The sequence below is a fragment of the Homo sapiens genome, chromosome 11, assembly GCF_000001405.40.
Source record: "Homo sapiens chromosome 11, GRCh38.p14 Primary Assembly".
NCBI lineage: Eukaryota > Metazoa > Chordata > Mammalia > Primates > Hominidae > Homo > Homo sapiens.
The window spans coordinates 38,298,669-38,325,577 of record NC_000011.10 but is presented as its reverse complement, the minus strand read 5'-3'; the positions used below and the strand labels follow the sequence as shown (position 1 = coordinate 38,325,577).

Sequence of the window (26,909 nt, the reverse complement as noted above, 5' to 3'; positions counted from 1 at the left end):
TCTCAAAGCCTAGGTTCTCAGACTATCTACATGTACATTCCAAATAATGGTATACCTACATGTAGATGAGAAAAAAATACTGCTAATTTTCTCAAAGGCATTTGAGAGGCAACATACACTGATTCTCTGAATTTCTGAAGTTGGGTAATACTGGGTTTATTGTGTGCTGATGCTGAGGAAATAAAGAGACTGAAACAACTTCATCAAGCACCTGGAATTGGTTAGTAATAGGCTGTGTAATTTTTTCCTGCATAGCGCTGCCAGCACAGTCCAAACCTGCTTACTTGCAATGTTCATTTTCACTTAAGGGCAGTCCAGAGTGGCACACCAAAGTATTTCTGATGCCAGAACTTCACCATCAGAGACAGCAGTCCTCTTCCCTGGCCTGGACAAGATCCCCAAGGTGAGTTCTATGATCTACGTGTGAAATTGGGTATGTCTACAAGCCTCTTTCAAATGAATGGGCTTCAAAGCATTGTAGATATAATATGTTTATGGATTCAGTCCACACTCAACAGATACTGAGCTCCTTCTATGTTCAAGGCAGATTGCTCATCTCTCAAGATGCGGGTATAAATAAGAAAAATATATCCTGTTTGTCACAGTATGGAGACTACATGAAATGAGTAGAATGTAAGGCACTGGTAGAGGGGAGGCACTCCTGTGGTTTAATCTATATTGCAGGTAGGGATGGTAGTTTTTTTCTCTTCATCTTCCTTAGATAGAAACTCCCACTAGAATCACCTGTGTAATTTATTTTAGAAAAGTAAATTACTCTAATTTCATTAAAAGTAGCCACTGCATTAGGGTCCTCTAGAGACAAAGAAGGTATTTTTCCTTATAAGCATGGTGTTAGGTCCGTGACTATGCCAAATATCATGCTCAGGGTCAGGTTCGAGGTCATGCTGAGGTTCAAGCAGAGCAGGTGTGTGGCAGATAGCTGAAAGAACACTCATGGGGACTGTAGGCAGGTGAAATGTGGTTTTATTCAGCAGCTGTCTCATCAGCAGCTTTCTTACACTGTCTTCCTTTATCTTGGCTATCTGCTCAGGCTCTGAGGCTCCTCTCAGCAATTGGCTCTGCGGCTTCTGCCACCCCATGGGTGCAGCTGCACTCCCTGGCCTGCAAGGCCAGCTACAGGGTCAGCAGCTTAACTCTTTCCCTCTGGGTGCAAGCTGGTTTCTGGCTACCCCCTGACCACCTCCAAGGCAACCAGCTATCCCTTACAGGAATCAGTAGCATTATTCTCTCTTTGGGCACCAGGGGCACCTGAGACATGTTGAGCCCTGTGAACAGCATCAGCAGGGCAGTTATACCTTTTTAAACAATAGTGGCTCCAAGGCAAGTATGAGTTTACACAAACAGGTTATATAACAAGTGGAGGTGTGTGCCTGCACCCTAAACTTGCTGAGTCACTCTTGACTAGATGTCTGACTCAGCCTATTCCTTAACCAAAGCACATCCATGTACCTTACAGATGGTTGAGTTTGCTGGGGAAAAAAACAAAAATCCTTTTAAGACTGTGGGAAGAAATGCTGCCACTGCCACCTGGGATGATACCTGGAGAAAAAAAAGGTTTCTATGGTTTTGGATCTATGAAGGGGGCTTCCAGGAGATGATGATGTTAAAGTATTTACAAAAATATCTTGAAAACAGAGCCACTGAAGCAAGAAAGTATGAAAGCAATTTTCTAAAACTGTGAACAGAAGTACATCTATAATTATAGGCATGTAAACTTGGAGCCCATTGGAGAATGTAAACACATTCTTTTTATCAAAAATGTTACAATGATAATGAAGAACATTTAATAAGAAAAGTAAGAAAAAATAATCCATATATTGTGAAATCAATTAGTTTTATTTTTCTGTATTTATTTTCCATATGTACTTTTGGTTGAAGCATTTGGTGGTCAATTTTTATTTGTTTGTTTTGAACCTGCACAGAAGAGTTTTCTAGATGTTTATATGACCTATCAGTATCATCTGACATAATTGATCATTCTCTCGGCCTTGATATTCTTTCTTTGGCATGCAAGTCACCAGCCTTTTTGTTTTTTCTCCTGTTCACAGCTTATGGTCAGTATCCTTAGTTGGTTCCCAAATTTCTCCCTAACACTTCAAGCTGTAGAAACCCAGAGCTTAGTGTCTGCTATCTTGTGCATATTATCTTCACTTTTCTATTGAGCTAATTGACTATTCTATAATAAAATACCATTAGTATCTTGAAAACCTCTTCAGTATATATCTCAGCTCCTCTTAAATGTCAAAGTCATATACTAAATTGCATACTTGATTTTGCACTTAGGTATCTAACACATATTTCAAACATAACTCATTTAAAATTTAACTCTTAAATTTCCTCTTCAAATCCTGCTCTACCCTCAACCTTCTCAGTTTATCCAATGGGAACTCAATCTTTTATTTGCTTCCATCAAAAAGCTTGAGCTTATTCTTGTTATCTCTCTTTCTCTTCCATACCATGTCAAATGTATAAAAAACACACGGTGGCTCATCTTTCAAAAGAAATTGTTATTTTGATGTTTTATCACTAACTTTTTAGCTAGTTTTCCAGCTTCCACCTTGACCACCTCCCACCACACACACACACACACGCACACACACACACACCATTCTACTTTTTCTATGGGGATTTTCCTATATAAATATACTATGGAATTTTGTTCATTATTTATTGTCTGTCTCTCTCTATATGTAAGTTCTAGTATGACTGTTGTTTTGTTTTGTTTTATTTGATAATGTATGTGTAGGCCCTAGAACATTGCCTGGCATTTAGGTGTTCAAAAATAATTATTTAACAAATGAATATGGCATGTGATGGTTTTATGAGGTAAGGCCCAGAATCAAAGTATAGATCGCTTTTTGATATTTTTCTTTCCAAATATCACAAGCTATCCATTAATATACAAGACATTTTGTTTTTGCCTCAGGAAAAAGAAAAAAGTATTTTGTGAAAGGTAGTGATAAATAAGGATGGTATGGCTTTTGTACTAATTTATGCTGAGATAAAGGGATTTGACATTTACTACTTCCATAAAAAGAATTTCTCCCTTTTTTATTTTTAATTTCGGTGGGTACATAGTAGGTGTATATATTTATAGGGTATATGAGATGTTTTGATGCAGCATAAGATGCATAATAATCACATCACGGTAAAGGGGTATCCATCACCTCAAGCATTTCTCCTTTGTGTTCCAAAGATATAATTATAAATTTAGTTATATTAAAATTTTCAATAAATTATATTTGACTGACTGTAGTCATCTTGTTGTATTATTAACTACTAGACTTTATTCATTTCATCTGTTTTGTACCCATTAACCATCCCCACTGCCCCCAGCTCAACTACCCTTCCCTGCCTCTGATAATTATCATTCTACTCTCTATCTCCTTGAGTTCAACTGTTTCAATGTTTGCCCCTACAAATAAGTGAGAGCATGCAGTTTGTCTTTCTGTGCCTGGCTTATTGTGCTTAACATAATGACCTACAGTTTCATCCATGTTGTTGCAAATGATAAGATCTCAGTCTTTTTATGGTTGAATAGTACCCCATTGTGTATATGTACCACATTTTCTTTATCCATTCATCTGCTGAAGAACACTTAAGTTGCTTCCAAAGCTTGGCTGTTGTGAATAGTTCTGCAATAAACATGAGAGTGCAGGTATCTCTTTCATATGCTGATTTCCTTTATTTGGGGTATATACCTAGCAGTGGAATTGCTGGATCATATGGTAGTTCTATTTTTTGTTTGTTTTTTGAGGAACCTCCAAACTGTTCTCTATAATGGTCATGTTAATTTCCATTTCAGCGAACACTGTACAAGGTTTCCCTTTTCTCCATATCCTTACCAGCATTCATTATTGCCTGTCTTTTGGATAAAAGCCACTTGAACTAGAATATGATAATATCTCATTGTAGTTTTAATTTGCATTTCTCTGATGATGAATGATGGTGAGCACCTTTTTATATGTGTTTGCCATTTGTATGTCTTATTTTGAGAAATGTCCATTCAGATCTTTTGCCCACTTTTTATTCAGATTATTAGATTTTTTTTCTATAGAGTTGTTTGAGCTCTTTATATATTCTGATTGTTAATCACATGTCAGATGACTAGTTTGCAAATATTTTTTCCCATTCTGTGGGTTGTCTCTTCACTTTATTGATTGCTTCCTTTGCTGTGAAGAAGCTTTTTAACTTGATGTGATTCCATTTGTCTAAAGTAGCTTTGGTTACTTGTGATTGTGGGGCATTACTCAATAAATCTTGTCTCAGACTAATGTCCTGGAGAGTTTCTCCAATGTTTTCTTTTAGTCCTTTGACTAAAAGATTAAAGTTGAGGTCTTAGATTTAAGTCTTTAATCCATTTTGATTGGTTTTGCATACTGTGAGAGATAGGGGAACAATTTCTTTATTCATGTGGATATCTGGTTGTCCCTGCATCATTTATTGAAGAGACTTTTCTTTATCCAGGGTATGTTTTTAGCACCTTTGTTAAAAATGAGTTCACTGTGGATATATAAATTTATTTCTGTGTTCTTAGTTGTGTTCCATTGCTCTGTGTGTCTGTTTTTAATGCCAGTGTCATCCTGTTTTGATTACTATAGTTCTCTAGCATAATTTGAAGTCAGGTAGCATGATTCCTCAGTTTTGTTATTTGCTAAGGATAGCTTTTGCTACTCTGGGCCTCATTTGGTTCCATATAAATTTTTGGATTATTTTTTCTATTTCTGTGAAGAATGTCATGGTATTTTGACAGGGATTATAGTCAGTCTGTTGATTGCTTTGCATAGTAAGGACATTTTAACCATATTGATTCTTCCAATCTACTAACATAGAATATCTTTCCATATTTTTGTGTCCTCTTCAATTTTTTGCTTTAATATTTTACAGTTTTACTGTAGAGATTTTTTTTTACTTATTTGGTTAAGGTTATTCCCAGGCATTTAATTTTATTGGTTGCTGTTGTAAATGGGATTACTTTTTTGAATTCTTTTTCAGATTGTTTGCTTTTGGCATATAGAAGTCCTACCCATTTTTGTATGTTAATTTTGTATCCGGCAACTTTACTGAATTTTTATCTGTTCTAATAATTTAGTGGAATCTTCAGGTTTTTCCAAATTTAAGATTATATCATCAGCAAACAAGGATAATTTGACTTATTCCTTTCCAATTTGAATGTGCTTTAATTTCTTTCTCTTATCTGACTGTTCTAGCTAGGACTTTCAGTATAATGTTGAATACTAGTGGTAAAAGTGGGCTCCTTTCCACGTTCCAGATCTTAGAGGAAAGGCTTTCAATTTGTCCCCATTTGCCATCATACTAGCTGTGGGGAAGTTGTATATGGCTCTTACTGTGTTGATGTAGGTTCCTTGTATACCTAGTGTTTTGAGGGTTTTTTTTTTATCATGAAGGAATGTCGAATTTTATCAAATGTTTTTTAGCATCTATTGAAATGATCATATGGTTTTTGTCTTTCACTCTGTTGATATGATGTATCATATTGATTGATTTGCCTATGTTGAACAATTCTTGCATGCCTGGCATAAATCTCACTTGGTCATGATTAATGATCTTTTTAATGTGTTGTTGAATTCAGTTTGCTTCTGTTTTGTTGAGAATGTTTTCATCAATGTTCATCATGGATAATGGCCTCTAGTTTTGTTGTTGTTGTTTTGATGTTTCCTTGTCTGGTTATGTTATCAGGGTAATGCTGGCTTTACAGAATGAGTTTGGAGGTATTCCCTCCTCTATTTTTTTATAGTTTGAGTATGAGGTATTATTTCTTATCGAAATATTTTGTAAAATTCAACAGTGAAGCCATTGGGTGCTTGGCTTTTCTTTGCTAGAAAACTTTTATTGTGGCTTTGATCTCATTACTTGTTACTGGGCTAGTCAGGTGTTGGATTTCTTCATGGTTCAATTCTTGTCAGGTTGTATGCATCCAGGAATTTTTCATTTATTCAAGGTTTTCCAATTTATTGTCATTTAGTTGCTCATAGTAGCCTCTAATGATTGTTTGAATTTCTGTGTTATTGGTTGTAATGTCTCCTTCTTCATCTCTGATTTTACTTATTTGGACCTTCTCTTTTTATTTTTCTTTAGATATTTATAAATTTTTTTCTTCTATTAATTTGGGGTTTGGTGTGCTATTGCTTTTCTGGTTATTCAAGATGCATCATTAGGTTGTTTGTTTAAAGTTTTTATACTTTTTTGATTTAGGCAGTTATTGCTAATTATAAATGTCCCTGTTAGTACTGTGTTCACTTTATCTCGTAGGCTTTGTTATGTTATTTCCATTTTCATTTGTTTTAAGAAATTTGAAAATTTACTTCTTAACTTTTTCATTGACCTACTGGCCATTAAGAGAGAGAATATTGTTTAATTTTCTATGTGGTTGATAATTTACAAAATTCTTCTTGCTATTGATTCCTAGTTTTATTCCATAGTGATCAGAGATGATACTTGATATAATTTCATTTTTAAAAATTTTTTTAAAGAAATTATATGGCCTAATGTATGGCTTACCTTTGAGAATGTTTAATGTACTGAGGAAAAAAATGTGTATTCTGCTTCCATTGAATAAATTGTTTTGTAAATATCAATCAGGTCCTTTTGGTCTATATTGCAGATTAAATCTGGTGTTTCATTATTTATTTTCTGTCTTGATGATTTTTCCAGTGCTGAAAGTGGTGTGACAAAATTCCCAGGTATTATTACACTGTGGTCTGTCTCTCTCTTTAGCTCCACAAATATTGGCTTTATATATCTGGGTGCTCAATGTGGGGTGCATATATTTTCAATTATTATTTTTCTTGCAGAATTGACCCCTTTGGCATTCAATACATAATCACAATTTTTGTCTCTTTTTATAGTTTTTTCTTTTGCTTGAAAAGTATTTTTCTGATATAAGTATACCCATTCTTGCTCTTTTTTGGTTTCCATTTGCACAGAATATCTTTATTTATCCCTTTATTTTCAGTCTATGTTATATCTACGAATGAAACCTGTTTCTTATAGGCAACAGATTATTGGGTCTTATTTATTTTATCCATTCAGCCACTCTGTGTCTTTTGATAAGAGAGTTTAGTCCATTTACATTCAATGTCGTATTAATAAGTAAGGACTTACTCCTGCCACTTTGTTATGTTTTCTGGTGGTTTGGTGGTTTTCTCTTCATTCTTTCATTCCTTTCTGTCTTCATTATAGTAAAGGTGATTTTTTCTAGTGGTATGTTTTAACGTTTTAAAACTATTCCATGTATCTGTTTTTGATTTGAGGTTGAGGCTTGCAAATAATATCTTATAAACTGTTATTTTAAACCAATGACAACTTAAAACTGATTGCGTAAACAAAGAGAAAACTAATACAAACTAATCTTTAATTTCATCCCCTGCTTTTTAACTTTTTGTTGTTTCTATTTATATCTTATTTTACTGTTTATGTCTTAAAAAGTTGTTATAGCTGTTATTTTTGGTAGGTTCCTCTATTAGACTTTCTACTCAAAATATGAGCAGTTTACATGCCACAATTACAGTGTTTTGATATTCTCTGTTTTTCTGTGTATTTGTTATTACCAGTGAGTTTTGCACCTTCAGATGTTTCATTATTGTTCATTAACATTATTTTCTTTCAGATTGAAGAACTCCCTTTAACATTTCTTGTAGGACAGGTATGGCATTAAAATATCTCAGCTTTCGTTTGTCTGGGAGTCTTCTTTTCTCTTTTATGTTAAAATAATATTTTTGCAGATATACTATTGTATATTGTATACTATTTTATATTATACTATTGTATAAGGATTTTTTTTCCCTCAACACTTTAAATATTTCATGCCACTCTCCCCTGGCCTATAAGGTTTCAAATGAGAAGTCTGCTGCCGGACATATTAGTACTCCTTTATGTTATTTTTTTCTTTTATCTTGCTTCTTTTAGGATCATTTCTTTATCCTTGAACTTTGGGAGTTGCTTATTAAATGGCTTGAGGTCATCTTATTTGGGTTGAGTCTACTTGGTGTTCTATAGCCTTCTTATACTTGGATATTGATATCTTTCTCAATATTTGGGAAGTTCTCTCTTAATATAACTAACTTTGAATAAACCTTCCACCCTAATCTCTTTGTCTAGCTCCTCGTTAAGGCCAATTACTCTTAGATTTGCCCTTTTGAGCCTGTTTTCCAGATCTTATAGGCATGCTTTTTCTTTCTTATTCTTTTTTTTAATCCCTTGACTATGTATTTTCAAATAGCCTGTCTTCATGCTGACTAATTTTCTTCTCCTTGATCAATTCTGCTGTTAAGAGACTCTGATGCATTTTTTAGTATTTTAATTGCATTTTTTAACTCCAAAATTTCTGCTTGGTTATTTTTAATTATTTCAATTTCTTTGTTAAACTTATCTGATAGGATTTTGAATTCCTATTCTGTTATCTTGAATTTCACTGAGCTTTCTCAACACAGCTGTTTAGAATTCTCTGTCTGAAAGGTCACATACCTCTTTCTCCAGGAATGGTTCCTTGTACCTTATTTAGTTCATGATGTGGTCATGTTTTCCTAAACGGTTTTGATGCTTGTGTATGTTTATTGGTGTCTGAGCACTGAAGATTAAGGTATTTATTTTAGCCTTTACACTTTGGGCTTGTTTGTGCCCATTCTTCAGAGGAAGGCTTTCCAAGTACACAAAGGGACTTGGGTTTTGTGATCTGAGTTTTTCACTGCTGCAGTTGTATCTGCATTAGGAGGCACCCCAATCTCAGTAACGCTGTGGCTTTTGCAGACTTGTAGAGGTACCACCTTGGTGGTCTTGGGTAAGATCTGGGATAATTCCCTGGATTTCCAGGCAGGAACTCTTGTTCTTTTTCCTTACTTTCCTCCAAACAAACAGAGTTTATCTCTCTGTGCTGAATTGCTTGGAGCTGGGTGAGGGGTAACACAGGCACCCCTGTGGTCACCACCACTGGGACTGTTCTCAGTCAGACCTGAAGCCAGCACAGTACTGGGTCTCATCAAAGGCCCACCATGACCACTGCCTGGCTACTGCCTATGTTTACTCAAGGCCTGAGGGCTCTACAGTCAACAGGTGGTGAATGAAGCCAGACTTGTGTCCTTCCTTTAAAGGAAGTGAATCCCCGTGGCAATGGGCAGGTCCATAGATGCCATCTGGGAACCAAAACCTAGAGCCACGTCCTTAGAAATCTACCTAGTGCTCTACTCTACTGTGGCTGAGCTGGCAACCAAGCTGTAAAAGTTCTTTCCTCTCTTCCCTCCCCTTTCCTCAAGCAGAGGAGTTTCTAAGCATGACTACCACCACCCTGGGTTCTTGGCAAGTATCACCTGGTTACTGCTGATGTTCACACATGGTCTAAGAGTACCTCAGCTTGCATGTGGTGAATGCTGCCAGTCCTGAGTCTCTCCTTACAGGAAGTGGATTTGCCTCTGACCCAGGGCAGGTCTAGAAATGGCATCCAGACATCCAGACCCAATTCCCAGACTGGGGACTCCAGGATCCCACTTGGTTTTCTTCCCCACTGTAGCTGAACTGGTACTGAAGCTGCAAAGCAAAGTCCCTTTTACTCTTAGATCTACTTTCCTCAAACAGGAGGAGTCTCTCCCTATAGCCACCATAGCTGGCATGTGTGGGGTTACACCTGAAGCCAGCATAATACTGATTCTCACCCCATGCTGTGGCAAGTACTACCTGGCTACCACTGCTGATTATTCAGGTCCAAGGGCTCTTTAGTCAGCAGGTAGTAAATCCTTCCAGGACTGAGTCCTTCCCTTCAAGGAAGAGCACTTTCTTTAGCCCAATATATCTCTAGAAATGTCATCTGGGAACTGGGGCCTAGAATGGGGACCTCAGGACTCTGCCTGGCACCCTATTTTTCTGTGACTGAGCTGATACTCAAGTTGTAAGACACAGTTTTCTCTACTCTTCCTTCTCCTCTGCTCAAGAAGAGAGAAGGAGTCTCTACTGGAGCTGCTAGCTGTGCTGCATGGAGTTTGAAGAGGAATGGCACAAGCACTTCCTTGGCTGCCCCAGCTGGTGTCTCACTAGGTTGTGTGAATCCTAAGTTTACTGGCTTTGAGCCCAGTACAGCACCAGGACTTGCCCTGGACTTGCAATCCTTGTGGCCTAGACAGCCTTTCAAATTCATTTAGAATCCCAGAGCACTTTAGCCCATAGTGCTGGGTTTACTGAAACTCAGGTTGTGACCACTGAGATACATGACTCACCTCTGGCTAGGGCTTGTCTAAATGCTCCCTCCGGGAGTATAGGCTGAGTTCTGCCCTGTGTTGCTTTCCACTGTGACATGGCAGTACTGAGTTCCAATGCAAGATTTCATAATCACTGTGCTGTCTCTACCTCATACATACAGATTTTATCTCCATGCCATGTGACCACTGCTGGGGTGTGGGAGAGGGATAGTATAGGTGATTAAAAACTGTCTTTCCTACTCTCTTCAGTGCCTACTCTTCTCAGTCCTCACCTGATTTTTCCTTCTCATAAAGGTATGTTTTTGTGGACTTTTGTTCAATTTGGTGTTACTCTGGGGAGGGATGATCACTGGAGGCTTCTATTTACCTATCTTGCTCTGCCTCTTTGTCCAGGGATGAAAGAATTTCTTTTTTTTAGAACCTGTATTCTCAAGCTTTCTGTGTATCATCCCTAGCCCTCCTCATGGCCCACTAGAACTGTACCTTTTATATTTGTATTTAACAGTTTGAAAATGGATTATCTTAATAGCAGTTTGCTTTAGTGAAACATAAGGACTGCTGTCCAGTCCCCTTTATGAGAAGTACCTTTACTTATATTATAGGGATGTACCTAACCATGCCTCTTTGCCGTAGATCCTTTTTTTTTTTTTTAAGATGGAGTCTTGCTCTGTTGCCCAAGCTGGAGTGCAGCGGCACAGTCTTGGCTCACTGCAACCTCCACCTCCTGAGTTCAAGCGATTCTCCTGCCTCAGCGTCCGGAGTAGCTGGGATTACAGGCGTGTGCCACCACACCTGGCTAATTTTTGTATTTTTAGTACAGATGGGGTTTCACCATGTCGGTCAGGCTGGTCTCGAACTCCTGACCTCGTGATCTGCCCACCTTGGCCTCCCAAAGTTCTGGGATTACAGGCGTGAGCCACCGCAGCTCCCATTTTTATGTGAATGTTAAGTTTGATCTTTCTCTTTCTCCATAATTAAAAATGGGATAATAAAAAAGTATGTTCCCAACCTCAGAGTGTTTTGAGGTACCTAAATATTACTTAAAAGAGTCAAAGAGGAAAAATAAATTCAGAACTGTAAGGCCACCTGGGGTGGTATTTAATTGACCCCTCTGTGCCTCATGGGAATATGTTTCTGCAAAGTTGCTTGATCCATTGCTATGTTCAGGTTCCTGGATAATGTCTTCAGGTTTTTGCTCTCACTTTGATATGTCTGTAGTAAGCCCCAGTTTACCAACTGATGAATGACTTAATAGGAAAAAGAGAACAAGTGCCAACTTAACAAAATCAAGGAGCTGCCAACAGAGAAAAGAAGCACTTTTCTTTTTAAGCCTAATTTGAGTTCTCTATAAAAAATTAGAATGTGGATCTTTTCTCCCTTCTTTCAGCTCAAGAAAGAAATAACTCCAAGTACCAACAATTCTCCTTAACTTTTTTCTTTCTTTACATAGAATGAGTAAAAATCACCTAATTTGAACATCAATTATAGTTGCTTCAGTGATTCCCAGAGAAGCTATATATTCTGTCTTCTCCATACTACTACAGAATGTTTCAAGGCAGTATAAAGATAATCAAGTGAAGACCTTTAGCAAAAAATACTTTCACTGCTGAGGTTTATAAAGGAAGTTTTAAGCTGCTTAAAAGTGTGTATATAAAATGAACTTTGACAGACTAGTTAGAATTGTTTGAATAAATGAAAAGTACTATTCCATGCCATAGAGAAAAAAAAGTCACTTATTTTTCCAATTCATCATTTTACACAGGAGAAAACTGATTTGCAGATAGCCCAACATATGTGGAGTAATGAATATTGGCATTCCACGGATACATGCCGATAGCATATGTATACCCCTTTCCTAATATCATAGGAAACAGTATAGTACATTAATGGAAATTTAATATCAGACTGGAAAATAGTGTATATTACTATTTTCCTATCTTTTCATTGTGGGGCATTGTGTAAGTCACTGAAGACCTCTGAGTCTCATCAATAAAATTAAAGCATCAATATCTACTTCTTAAGAAATAACTCTATAATTATAACAGCAATAATAATTATTAAATGATAATAGATTCCAAGCATTCTTTTAAGCATTTTGCATGGATAAATGAGCCACAAACTCTATGAGTAAAGTGATATTTGTATACTCGTTTTACAGAGTAGGAAACTGATGGATAGGAACAGGAGTAGAACATTGTGGTTTGGGGCGAATTCCTTCATCTACACCAAAGGCTCTAATATAAAACCTACTTATAGGTTTTATAAACCATAAAACCTATTTGTTATTAGATGTTTTATATTATATAGTTCTTTTCATGATTCCTTGGACCTGTAGGGCTTATTCTGTAAATAAAATATGTCTCAGAAACCTCCTGATGTTTGATTTTACAGACACAAATACACACACACACACACACACACACACATATGTTTTGCTTTCTATTTCAAATTATAGTTGTTTCTTGTTTGGTAGAAGTAATATTCTTGTTTCTTGTATGGTAGAAGTACTATTGGCTGCCATCATTGCATACCTCCTCTATGAAGATAAGTATATGGTACTTACAATGGGATTGCTAATGTAGAGTTGTACCAATTCTCTTGCTTAAGATAATTGGACTACACAGGTTCACAGTGAACACAGGACTGTGCTGGATGTTATGACCTGGGAAATGAGAACTTTTTTGTAAGTTTCTTCTTCCCTGATAATCATCTACATCTATAATTGGTCGTAGATGGTTGGTAGACTGATGGTAGAGAAAAGTAAAAAATAAATTCTTTATCTAGATATTCTTGTCCATTAATTTGGATAAGATATTGAAACAGTATATGGGAAGAAAACTTATTTTTATTCTTACTCTCCTTATAAAATAGGGGCTCATTTATGCTTCAGGCTTGAAACTTCTCATTATCTAGGACCATTAAAAGTAGATGAGAGTGATAAAAACAAGAAAGAACTGATGAAATTCTGTTTAACTTCCAAGTGACATGTGTGCACAAGCTGTGAATAAAGCTATATTTCATATTTAATTTTAAAATTGCTGTTGTTAGTCTATATTTCAATTATGCATAATTTTCCTAAAATAATACATTTAGCGTATAACTCCCAGAAGCTAACAGCTGTTGGAGACAGTATTTTAATTAACAACCTTTGTCTCAATGAATTTTGTACAGAAAAATAAGAGGGAATGTAGAGACAAATTTACCCACTTCTCTTTAATAAATAGGAAATTGTAATATATTTGGACAATGCTAGATCCTAGTAAGAACAAGAGTTATTAAACCAAAATAATCTTAGCTATTAAATAAAAGAAATTCAGGAAACCAGAATGAAAAAGCTACATTTTACCAATTTATACTCAAAGTAAATCACAGGGATATGACTTGTTTAATGTGATTTATATCTAAAAAAGAGAAAATCAAAACTGAAAGTGAACCTAAGATATTAAACCAAAGAAATGTATAGAAAGGAGGGAATTAGAAAGTCTTCCTTGTTTTTATGGGTGTGTTCTTCTTGGTTCTAAATAAATGCTAAAGTAAGAGAGGAAATAAAATGTAAAGGAATGAACCTAAATTTTTATATTTCACCATTTTGTTAGCTTGGGTAGGATTCTGAATCTCAGTTTAATAATCTATAAATAGGCAAGTAGTACCCACGTTACCAATGTGTGAAGGAGAATATAGTGTCACACATATACTATAGTCTGACCAAAATAAAACTTAAACACTTTGCTGTTGCTGCAGTTGTAACTTTTGTTACAATAATAATAATGTTCTTGAACCGAATCTTCTTTTCACATTTCCTTTGTTACCAGGCCAATGACACTATACTTTTCGCCTTACTGTTCAGGGATCAAGAATAGTTTTGTAGCTTCTTTTGGGGTAAAAATGGGAAATAAAATATAATTGTATCAAAAAATCTTTATGATATTTAGGTTAATATCATACACATATATGCACATGTACCCCATCCATGCACATGCAAACACATGTGTATCTCATGAACTTGACAGTCAAAATAATAGAAAGAAAATAACTTAATACCATGGGGAATATCTTTTTTTTGTTGAAATGGAGTCTTGCTCTGTCACACAGGCTGGAGTGCAATGGCATGATCTTGGCTCACTGCAACCACCAACTCCCTGGTTCAAGCGATTCTCCTGCCTCAACCTCCCCAGTAGCTAGGATTACAGGCACGTGCCACCATGCCCAGCTAATTTTTGTATTTTTAGTAGAGACGGGGTTTCACCATGTTGGCCAGGATGGTCTCGATCTCCTGACCTCCACGCCCGCCTCAGCCTCCCAAAGTGCTGGGATTACAGGCGTGAGCCACTGTGCCCAGCTGGGAATATCTTTTGTTCGTGCATCTATGTAAACACTAGAAGAAAAATAGTAGAAAAAGAAAATAGACAATGATATTACACTCCTTCTAAATCCCCTCTCTCATATTACATTCATTAAAAGGCATAAAAATGTAAGAATGGTAGAAGACAGAGAAAGAAAACTTGGTTGATTCGAAACCACATAAAATCTCTAAAAGGCAAGAATCAGAATTGTATTTCAGAAGAAGTTACAGACCAGGAAAGTAAAAGCACAAAAGTGCTTAATAGCTCACGGTGTAAATTCAAAAAGCAAATAGGAACATATATTAGTGTCCAGTGGCTGCTATAACAACTTGCTACAAACTTCATTGTTTAAGGCAACAGATATTTATGATTTCACTGTTCTGGGGCGCAGAAGTCTGAAATCAGCATTGCTAGGCCCAAATCACGGTGTTGTCAGGCCACGCTCCTTCTGAGGCTCTAGGAAAATGAAAACATTGTTTTTTGCCTCTTCTAGCTTCTGGTGACTGCCAACATCCTTGGCTTGTGATCAAGACCTGCATTTTGAAATCTCTTTCTGCTCCACCCTCACATCACTTTTCTCCTCTGAGTATCTGTCTTCTTTATTTCTGTCGATAGCAAATCTTTCCCTGCCTCTCCCTTACATGTGATTGCACTTAGAGCCCACCAGATCATTCAGAATAATAGTGCTCTATCAAGATTCTTAATTTAGTCGCATCTACAAAGACCTTTTGTCCTTGTAAGGTAACATTTGCAGGTTCCGGGAGGTAGGCTGCGTTGTCTTTGGGTGGCCATTATTCAGCTGTCTATACAACCTAAGTTTACCAAGCTTGCTATTACTATGTGAGGTATAGTAGAATTATTAACAAGGGACCACAATGGAGGAACACTGTCCAGAATGAAAAACTGCTAGGAGTTTCCAAATCAGATGGACCCTTAAGTGCTAAGTTTTACAACATCAAAGATAAGAAAAAGTATTCAAACCATTCAGAAGTAGAAAAGAGACCTATACCCACACTCACACCCACACTAAAACAGCATTTCTTAAAATAAATAAGCATTAAATTGACTTGATACTTTTTAAATTTACCTCACCAAATTAAAGAAGAAAATAAAGCAATTTCTGCAAAATCCTGAGAGAATTGAACATGAATTATTTTTATAATAAGTATCAATTAAAATATTTAAATCTATAAATAACTAAATACATGACTTTAAAAGCCTTAAACAATAAGATATTTTATCTCTTATAAAAGGAACCTAAGAAGAAAGGTTTCTATGGTGACTAAAACATGTTAGAGTCCCTTGGTCCTTTTCTCTGGAAGAGAGGTTATAATTGCCCAGATTGCACTTATACTGTCCTATTTATTACCTCGGGTGGAGAAGGCCCCCGAAGGTCCTGAAACACCTTAGTAGAAAGTAAAAATATGACTATCAGATTAGCTGCCAGCATCGCATACCTCCTCTATGAATATAAATATATGGTAATGGCACATGGAGAGACAAGTAGACCAATAGATGAGAATAGTTAGGAGAGAGACACAGAAATGTATGATTACCTAATGTAGGGCAAAAGTTTTATTATCGTACAATTGAAAGGATGGTTTATTTAATAAAAAGTACTGGGTTTGCTGGCCATCTATGTATCTATGCATGCACACATGTACATATATAGTTATATATAATATACATGATGTGATATATAAGAGCTATATCTATAGTTACATGTATAATATTAATACTTATCATCATGCTAAAAACAATTACAGATGTATAGCAGATCTAAATAATAAGGTAAAGTAAAACAGTAAAACTTACAGAAGAAAATTGTCTTCATGATAATGTAGTCAAAGCCTTCTTGATTAGGACCAATGAAACCTTGATAAATTAAACTTATTTATAGTTAAGAATAAACACCATTAAAAGAGTGTAAAGGGAAACCGCACAGTGGGAGCTGATATCTGTATTACACATAAGCAACAAAGGACTGATATTTAGAATATAATGAAGGTCAAAATTTAGAATATTTAGAATATTGTAGGACTTTTAGAATATAAAGAATTCCTACAAATAAAAAAGATATACAACCTATTTTCAAAGGACAAAATTATTTAAAAGACACTTCACAATAGAGTTTATCAAGATAGCCAATAAACATATGAAAAGGTTTTCAATAGTATTTGTTATCAATAAAGGCAAAGGCAAATAAATGCCATAATGCAACATCACCTCACATCCAGAAGAATGGCTACATTTAAGAAGACTGACTACCCTAGGGGTAGGGTTGAAAAAAAATTACATTCTGGGTGCGAAGTCCAATATTTGGGTGATGGATACCCTAGAAGCCCAATCCCCATCATTATGTATATAATACCCAACAAACAAGCGCATGTACCCCTCAAATCTAAGATGAAAATATATATTAAAAAAAATACCAACTATCCCAAGTCTGATAAACATGTGGTGCAATGAGAACTTCCCTTTGTTAAAAATAGAAACATAAAATGATACACTTGCCTTGGAAATCTGTTTACTAATGTCTACTAAAGCTGAAAAAATGCACATACCATCATGAACAATTTTATTCCCAGCTATCTTCTCAATAAAATGTGTACATAAAATATCTATAAAAATGCTTATAGTACTGTGAAAGCTTCAAAATGGCAGTGTAACCAAATATCCATCAAGATCAGAATGGATAAAGTAATTGTAAGATATTCACATAATAAAATGTTATTCACCATTGAGAATGAAAAATTACAGGTACTTCTGAAACAATACCACTGAATTAGAAAAGCCAAACACAAAATAGTCCATTTGTCATTTTATTTGTATAAACTTTAAAAACTAACATATGGTATTATATTACATATCAAGAAAATGATTGCCCAAGGTATTGTTGTAACTCAAAGGAAGCATGAGGCAGGTTATAGGATGCTGAAAATATTCTTTTTCTTTATCTGTATAGTGGTTCTATACAAAAATGTATAGCATTGTATTTTTATGATATGTTCATTTTCCATATGGTTTCAACAAGAGAATTATGTAAAATCATAAACTACGTGTGAGAAACTAAAAAAATTGATTTTTTCAATTGTGTAAGGCCCAAGAAAATTATTAACTGAACAATCTCCTCTGAAACCGTTACTAGAATATTCACTGACACAGAAGGAAACATAGCAGAAGAAGGAAGTAAGAAATTCAGATGTAGAGCAATGAAATCAATTAGCAAAACATACTGAAAAATACACTGGAAAGAAAAAGTTCTATCCATTCTGGAAACTATTTTAATAGCAAAGGCTTTATGTCTGTATTGCAACAGGACAGGATAGTGTCAGTCGTTACACTGATTGATTGTGTAATACATGACTTAATCAGCCAAACAAACAGTTCATGTGTTTTATGAGTTGATGGAATCCTAAAAGTGTGTTAAAGTTTATAATCAGTGTCAGTTTAATTTAGGAAAGAGTAATTATTCAAGGTAACTAGTACTTTGGAATTTTGATTCTCTGGCCATTTTTGTGAGGGGAATTCCTCACCCCAACACCATTATCCACATGTATCACTGCCAATTATAGCTGTATATATGGTATATTCACAATATTATGTTTAGTAACATTAATTTGTAATACTCTCTGGTAGGGTTTAATCTGCACATCTGGAAGACAATTTTATATTAGCACTTTATTGCCAGAAAGCAGAATTCTGGTCATAAAACTACCAGGCTATACCTTACTGATCTCTAAGGTTTGGTTGCCTTTGCTGGATCTATGACGGGCCTAAAAGACACCCAGTTGATGATTATGATAACCCTCAAGAGGTTTATTGCAGCCTGGGTTGCATTTATATTGGTTTTAATGCCCTCATCTTGAACTACGAAGACAGAGCTACTTTGATTGATTATCGCCCATTGTCCTTCTTGAGCTACAAGCAAATATTCAAGAGTTGTTTGATTGTGCATGTTTTCTATAATCAGGCCTTAAATTCCTGTCTGTTTCCCTGAAGGTATCCATAACAAAATTTGCCAACTATTTAATAGTCACTGAAGTGCCTGGAACAGCTTTCCCTATTAATTTAATCTAATCCTGGTATTAGAATTCTAAAGGCCCCATTAAACACAAATTGCTATTTTTGAGGCCTGATAAGTGTTTCTTTGTGCTACAATAAGTTTTATTAGTAATTCTGAGCAGGACAGACAAAGTCCTAAGAAAATCCTCAGCTGTCATTTTCTTAGCTAGTTTTTTTTTTAATTGCCATCAATAAAATCATTGTTCTGTATTTATAATGCTAACATTTTAAGCTTGTAAAAAATATTTAATATGTAACATTGACACTTGGGAATGTATATGTATGTGCGAAAGAGAAAAAAGAGAAAGAAAAGAAAGAAGAAAAGAGAGAGAGGAAGGAAGGAAGGGAAAGAAAGGGAAAGAAAGAAAGAAAGAGCTATAAGGCCATATTTTTTTGAACTACACTGAAGGGGAAACAAAGTTTTACAGAGTTGCTGTGAGTCAGAATGAATACTCTGCAATGATCAGAGATGTGAAACTTGGGTATTAGGATACTGGCAAATATTTCACCTTATAATCTTTTATACCATAAAATTTCTATCTGAGGTACAGCATCCATCAGTTCTAAGCAAAAGGATAAACATTTGTTCTAGCTTCGGAAATGTACATTTAAATTATATTTTGGAAGGAGAAAAAGCATGTAATTTAACGACAAAATAATTCACATTTGTTAAATCCAATCATTATATATCATTAAGTTCAATAAAAGTTTCCCATGTGCTATAAAAAGTAAAATATACAACCAAAGAGAATTCCCTATTTGTGTCAGGGGACATATTTCTACCACTCAGGCTCTCAAGAATACATGTTTATGCATATCTGTCATTGTGATCACTTGTGTAAAAAATACGTAATAGAAACCCTTGAGCGTTTCATTATCAGCTTTCTTTGTTTTTTTTTTTTTTTTTTTTTTCTTTTTTTTTGGTTTTCCACATTTTTCTGGTACCTAGGGACAGCTTAGCTGTTTTTTTAGCTTAGTGTTTTTCATTAGGTTGTAGAAAAGCTGTTGACAGGGACAGTAGTCTTTAAAGACATGACGGGGGGCCTGAAGTTCTTTTTCCAAGTTCATGCATGTGGTTTTGGCAGGAGGTTTCAATTCCTCCCACATGAATCTCTCACAGAGCAAGTGATTCCATAGCAAGACCAAAAGAGAGAGAAAGTGAGCACGTGCTTGTAATGAAAACTGCACCTTAAAATTGCGCTAATCTTGTAAATGATGGCCTAACTTCAGGCTTATGTTGTCAGCGCAATGCGGAAGGCGAATACAGAAGGTATGAATACCAGGAAGGAGAGACCATTGGGCGCCATCCTAGCAACTGACTACTACAACATCATTCCCAATAACTCACTTATAAGGAAAGGAAATTACAGACCAGCAGGGCCAAGGTCAGGACACACACACACACACACACACACACACACACACACACACATTTGTTTTTGAATTATTTTTCTTCTTTTCATAGCCAGCAGAAGTAATATACATTCTTGTAATATACATTCTTAATAATTAGTTCTCTTTTGATTTATTTATGGGTTGATTTGCCCTAGAATATTAAGCACAGTCCCAGCAACCTCATGAATTCTCCAAATTTAATAAAGATTCCAGGTACCCACATAATGGCAATTTTCAAACAAACTTATCAAAGAAAACATCTACAATAGAAGAAAAATTAAAATAGAAAGCTCATGCAGAGATCAAACCTCTAATTATATGTAGGGCAGACAATTTTGGGTTTCTTGCTGCTAAATAGGTTAAAGAAAGAACTTGGACGGAAGAATTTTGAAATATTATCTAACGTGGCCTCCAGCCAAATATCTCAGGCTGTGAATTCATCAGATTGATGCAAACTAAGCAAGATTTAAATAACAAAATGGGTCCCTCAAAGGACTGCCTTTTGGCAATGGCAATTTTGCATGTTTTGCTTCTCTTTAGTTCATGTACAGCAACCATCTGAAAAGTAAAGCTACAGTGGACTTGGCCTGTTCAAATAAAATAAAAATTCTAGATTTAATTATAATAGTGCTATCATAATAACACATGATTTGTTGCCTTTAAAATGAGCAAGAGTGAATTATTAACTATTGAGGTTTTCCTATAATATCTTTCTATTCATTTCCTGATCTCCAAACATATTCTTTGGTGAAGTATTCAATAAATTGTGATTGTATTAAATAGCTGGCTTTACTATTTTTTAAGAAATTTAGAAATTCAAGTTTAATTACTATCTTGAAATTCTTCAATAATGATATAAATGGCAAAGGTTTTATTTCTGATGTGTCAGTCCTGACAGGGTAAATGTGATAATGATTTTTAATATTCTGTAAAATTGCATATCAGATACTGTCTTTAAAATATGCTTTACTATTATTCATTTTATAAGGTAATGATATTTGATTCTGTTTCTTTTAATTTTCTGTTTGATTTTCTTTATTTCCCATTTTCTCACTATGAAATAGAATTAGGTACAAAAATGTCCAGAATAGTACAATGAAGTGAAACAAAGTAGAAGATTAAAGAAAGGGAAACTTAACTTTTCCTTTTGTACTGCTCGTATTTATTTTTATTTAATGCTTGCACAAAATAATAAGGTGTGAATTTTATTATATATTTTACATGATGAAACTGGGGCTCAAAGCAGGGTTAAGGTAGTGAAATAACTTGTTCATTTTCACAAAACAAGGAGTGAAGAACCTTGGAGTCAAGATCAAGTCATTCTGACATCAAAGCCCTTGCTTGTTTCAAAATAACATACTCTCCTTTTCTGAAATAAACTTTGGTAGATTTCTGTTTGTTTGGAAAAACAAACAGGCAAAAAAATCTCATAAAATTTCCTCTGCCGAATTTTGGGAACATGAATTCTAAATAATTTCCAACACGGATATAATACTTTCCCTAAGCGATGAGAGTGGCACACTATGTCTAGACTCCTCAATGTGGTTTTTGCTGAACACCAGCCTTCCATCTGGGAATCTGGATTTTGAAACCTGTGAGGTGGAGGGTGCCTACTTGACAAGCCCCCAAAATGTTCCCCAGGCACTGAGTCTCTAAATAGAGCTTCTGTGGTAGACAACACTTCACACATATTGTCACAATTGGAATTTGGATGAATGAAGCATGTCCTACACGACATCACAGGAGACAACCCTTGGAAGCTTGCAATTGGTTTCTTCTGGAGCTCGCTCCATGTGGCTTTCTTCTTTGCTGATTGTGTTTTTCATCCTTTTACAAATCCTATTCAAGAGGACCTCTGTATGCTAAGTCCTGTGAACCTTCCTAATAAATCATCAAACATGGGGATGGTCCTGGGCACTCTCAACACGATGTCAAAAACAATAATAATAAAGGAAAGGATAAAAATCAACAATAAAACATGCCCAAGAAGAAACTGATGGGACTATGTCAAAATAAAGGATTGTGATTAGTATAATTTACACATAAAGAAATTTAAAATGTTGAAGAATGACACTACAGAAAATTTTATGGGTCTTATAAGAGTCTCCTTATCCCTACTATTTGTCTAGACATGTGGCCATATTAGTTGTTTTCCAGTCCTCTCTTACCTCTTCATATTCCTGACCATGAAAATGGATTTCAGTATGCTCAACTATCCCAAATCTCTCAGCACTCTTCCCTACAATTTACAAAGAGAGAGGTAATCTAAGATCTGAACGTGAGACTTTAGATATATGAGCTTATAGTTACTGGTGAAATTCAGAGGTTGTAGCCATCCTTCAGAGAAAAATAGGGAGAAGAGACTGGGAAAATTCTGAAAATGTTCAAGTGCTGAGTTTATCTCCAGGATGACAGATAGGATAAGTAAGATAAGGAAAAGGTTAGTGGAGTGGATTGAAAAAAGTGTGGAGCAATTATGGTACAATTTCAGGTTTCACCAATTTACAAGAATTAATAAGCCAAACATACAATGAGAGAATGCAGTATGAGTGGGTTGGTTGAAACAGGAATTCAGTTTTAAAGGCTAACTTTTGGCAGAGGAGAGAACACTAGGTAGCTTAGGAATGGAAGTTTGATGGAGTGGGATGTATGGAGAACATTTCTTTTTGTAATTTCTTATTTTTAAATATATAGGAGTAGATAAAGGGCATTTGCATTAAAAATATGTCAAAACAGCATCTGGCTTGTAGACAAGAAAATAGTAATTTCTCCTCTGGCAATGAAGCCAAAATTGACAAGAAATGGCATTTCACAGATACCAAGTGCATCCTAGTGACAGGCTAGGCATATTAAGTGAACAAAAATGGGACTTTTATAGTAAAGATATAGTGCATTAGACACAGACAATTTCATTCAAATGGCTTCAATCCTTTGTCTATGCTTAAAACAGTCGCAGAATAAATAAAATTTTAAACTTCAAATCTTAAATATTTCACACAGTACATCTATAGAAAAGCCTAGTAACAGTGAAATCATACTGGAGGTAGAAACACTTTCTTTTCCTATTTGTAGAGTATTACGTTTCTTCTCTCAAAAAAGTAAATCAAAATAGTGATATTCTTTCAGCAGGAAATGAATAAGAAGGTAGAATCTCTCTCTCTCTCTCTCTCTCTCTCTCTCTCTCTCTCTCTCTCTCTCTTTCAATGGATAATGTAAATGTCTGTGAGAGTGTGCATATTTTCTTCAAAATATCTTAAACGGTAATATGTGGGGATAATAGCATATTCCGTTCTAGTCCATTGTTATCTGAATAAGTTTCTTGATATAAATAATTACATGCATTGAAACAAAAGACCTAGCATCCTCTATAAGATGTAAAAATAAGAAGTAAGGAAAATAAAAATCTAGTTAGTTTTTGGAGTGAATCTGAAATAAAGAGCGATTTTATTGTGGTGATTATAACCAGTAGTAAAACAGCACTGATTAAACTACTTAATATGATTTCTCAAGGGACAGAAAATTGGAAAAGTAATAAAGGCAAAATGTGAGAAACCCTAGTACCCTTGTCAGGTAATTTTAATGATCACTTGGAAATTATGTTAGTGAAAAAAACAATGAAACTTCTGGAAGAAGGATTGAAACATTCGAAAGAGAGAAATATTCTACAAATTTCTGGCTCAGCCTCTGACAAAGCTCTTCTTATATACTACTATGTCATTGACAACAAAAATATCTTTACAGAAATAGTATCCTTGATTCATTATAACAGATTCAGCAAAATGTAAACAAGCAATGCAGGAAAACTCAAAAGATATTATAAATATATAAAACTTCCCACTATAAAAGAAAATGTTGAACTTATTAGGTGGATGAGTTATTAACTTTAATTGTAGGCATAAATTACTAAAGAGATGGTTTGTGACAACAACAACAACAATCCAAAACATTAAACAGAAAACGAGAGATCGAAGGTTTGTAAGAATTCATAAGGAATATATCTTGTAAAATTCATTTTATATCCTTCATTGAGAGATCAAAGGAATTGCATAGCGAGTGCATTGTGACTTCAAAGCATTGTAAAGTCTTATTCAGATATCATTGTTAATAAGGTGATAAAAATGAGGTAGGAGGTTATGTTCAGGCATTATTAGAAAATTAAAAACTGATTTATAAAAATAATTAGGACTAGCAGTTACAATTAATAGAATCCTTCATATTTACCAAATACATTTTTCCATATATTGAAGTTTAGTGGAATAACATTCTTCTCTAATTTCATACACATAATAAGTGACAGAAAATGCACCAAAAAAAGAATTCTGTTAATTCAAGATTTCCTTAGCCTCTATCATACTCAATATAACTTAAAAGAATATAGAAGGCATACGCATGAAGCTGAAGCTGTATAAAACATGACATGCACTGGATAATAAGAAATATATGAATAATAATAATATTTTAAAGACTTAGGCTTTCAGTAAGATGAACCTTAATAGGTATGAATATGAGAATGTGCAGTTAGTTTTCAATTCTTTAAAATAAATTAATTTATTCCAGGTATGCAAATCTGGCTCAATATTTGAAAATTAATTATGTAATTCACCATAGCAAAGGCCTAAAAAGAAAAAAAAATCACATGATCATATTGATTAATGCAGAAAAGAACTGACAATTTCAATTCAAGGTAAAACAACTAGGAACAAAGATAAATTCCTCAAGGTTATTAAAAAAACAGCTTACATAACACTGGTAGCAGACTGGATATTTGGCGCTCCTTCAATTCTAAAAATATCTTCTCTCACCACTCTTATTCAACATTGTACTGGAAGATCTATTTTGTCCGCAAGAGAAGAAAATAAAAGGTATATATATTGGTAACATGAGAAAAAAGTATTTCTTTACAGATAACATTATTGTCTATGTAGAAGCAATTTAATTGTCCAACAATACAATTTGCAACAACAAATATTGAAATTTTGGGGTATAAATCTAACAAAATATGTGTGGAGTTTATATGCAGAAAACTATAAAACATGGATGTATATCATTAAAGATCTAAATTAGAAAAGAGATATTTGAGGTCATGTATTAGAAGACTCAATATTGTCAAAATGCCCATGCTTCCAAAATTGATCTACAATTTTAATAAAATCTAATTCAAAATATCAACAAGATGTTTTGTTGATATTTATAAGCTCATTTCAAACTTTATTTGAAAAGGAAAGAACCTAAAATAACACAATAACAAAGAAGTACAATGTTAGAGTACACACACTACCAATTTGAAGATGTGGTATAAAGGCATATGAATCTAGTCAGTGTTATATTGTCAAAACAAAGACATAAATATTAATAAAACCAAATAGAGAGCACAGAAATAGACCTGCAGAAATACAGTCAGCTTATTATTCACAGTCACTAAGATAGTACAACAGAAAAAATATTTTCAGCAAATGGTGCTAGAATTTGATATCAATATGCAAAAAAAAAGGACCTAGACATAGACTTTAGACCTTTTACAAATTCAACTCAACATGGATCATAGACCTAAATGTAATATGCAAAACTGTGAAACATCTAGAAGAAAACAAAGGGGAAAATCCAGGTGACCTTGGGTTTGATGATGATTTTAAAATACAACATCAAAAGTATGATCCATTATATTAAAAAAATAGATAAGTTGGATGTTCTTTAAAGTAAAAGTGTCTGCTCTGTGAAAGATACTATAAAAAAGTAAAATAAGACATGAACAGGGATAAAATAATTGTAAAACACTTTTATGATAATGAGCTTGCATTAAAACATTCAAATAACTGTAAGACCCAACCAAGAAAGCAAACAACCAAATTAAAAAATTGGAAAGAGATCTGAACAGACACCGCAACAAATAAGATACACAAATTTCAATCATAATATGAAAATATGCTCAATATCATGTCATAGGGCGATGCAAATTAAAACAATAATGAGATACCTCTAAACACCTATTAGAATGGCCAAACACACAGACATAACACAAAACAAAAATCAACACAGACACACAAAACAACCTGGCAATTCTAATTGCTTGGGAGAAAACAGAACAACCGAACCTCTTTTTTTTTTTTTTTTTTTTTGTTGAGATGGAGTCTCTATCGCCCAGGCTGGAGTGCAGTGGTGCGATCTTAGCTCACTGCAAGCTCTGCCTCCCGGGTTCAGCCATTATCCTCCCTCAGCCTCCTGAGTAGCTGGGACTCCAGGCGCCTGCCACCATGCCTGGCTAATTTTTTTTGTATTTTTAGTAGAGACAGGGTTTCACCATGTTAGCCAGGATGGTCTCAATCTCCTGACCTTGTGATCTGCCTGCCTCGACCTTCCAAAGTGCTGGGATTACAGGCATGAGCCACCGCACCCGCCCAACAACCGAAACTCTTACTCACTTTTGGTGGGAATGCAAAATGGTACAGCCACCATGAATACAGTTTGGAAGTTTTGTACAAAATTAAACATACTTTTACCATATAATCCAGCACTTGCACTCCTAGGTATTTACACAAGTGAGTAGAAAAACTTAGATCTGCACAAAAATATATATGTACAGGTTTATAAGAATTTTATTCATAATTACCAAAGACTGTAAACAACTGAGATATTCCTCAATGTGTGAATGGATTAAAATATGTGGTGCATCCATACAATGAAATAGTATCCAGTGATAAAAAGTAATAACTGTTGAAGTCACTCAAAAGCATGAATAAACCTTAAATGCATATTGCTAAATGAAAGAACTCAATCGGAAAGGCTACATGCTGTATAACTCTCTATATAAAATTCTGGGAAAGAAAACCTAAAGACAGTAAACAAATGAGTTGTTAATGGAGCAAGGGATGGGCTTTAA

General features: G+C 34.9%; 1 long non-coding RNA gene across 1 annotated transcript in view; it reads left to right on the top strand.

Annotated features, from left to right (window-relative positions):
- The window catches only part of LOC105376634 (uncharacterized), a 146,154-nt gene that overhangs the window by 11,718 nt on the left and 107,527 nt on the right, over positions 1-26,909 (top strand). Inside the window, exon 2 of the long non-coding RNA XR_931202.2 lies at positions 309-403. This is a non-coding gene — a long non-coding RNA (uncharacterized LOC105376634). The remainder of the gene's footprint in view (positions 1-308; positions 404-26,909) is intronic.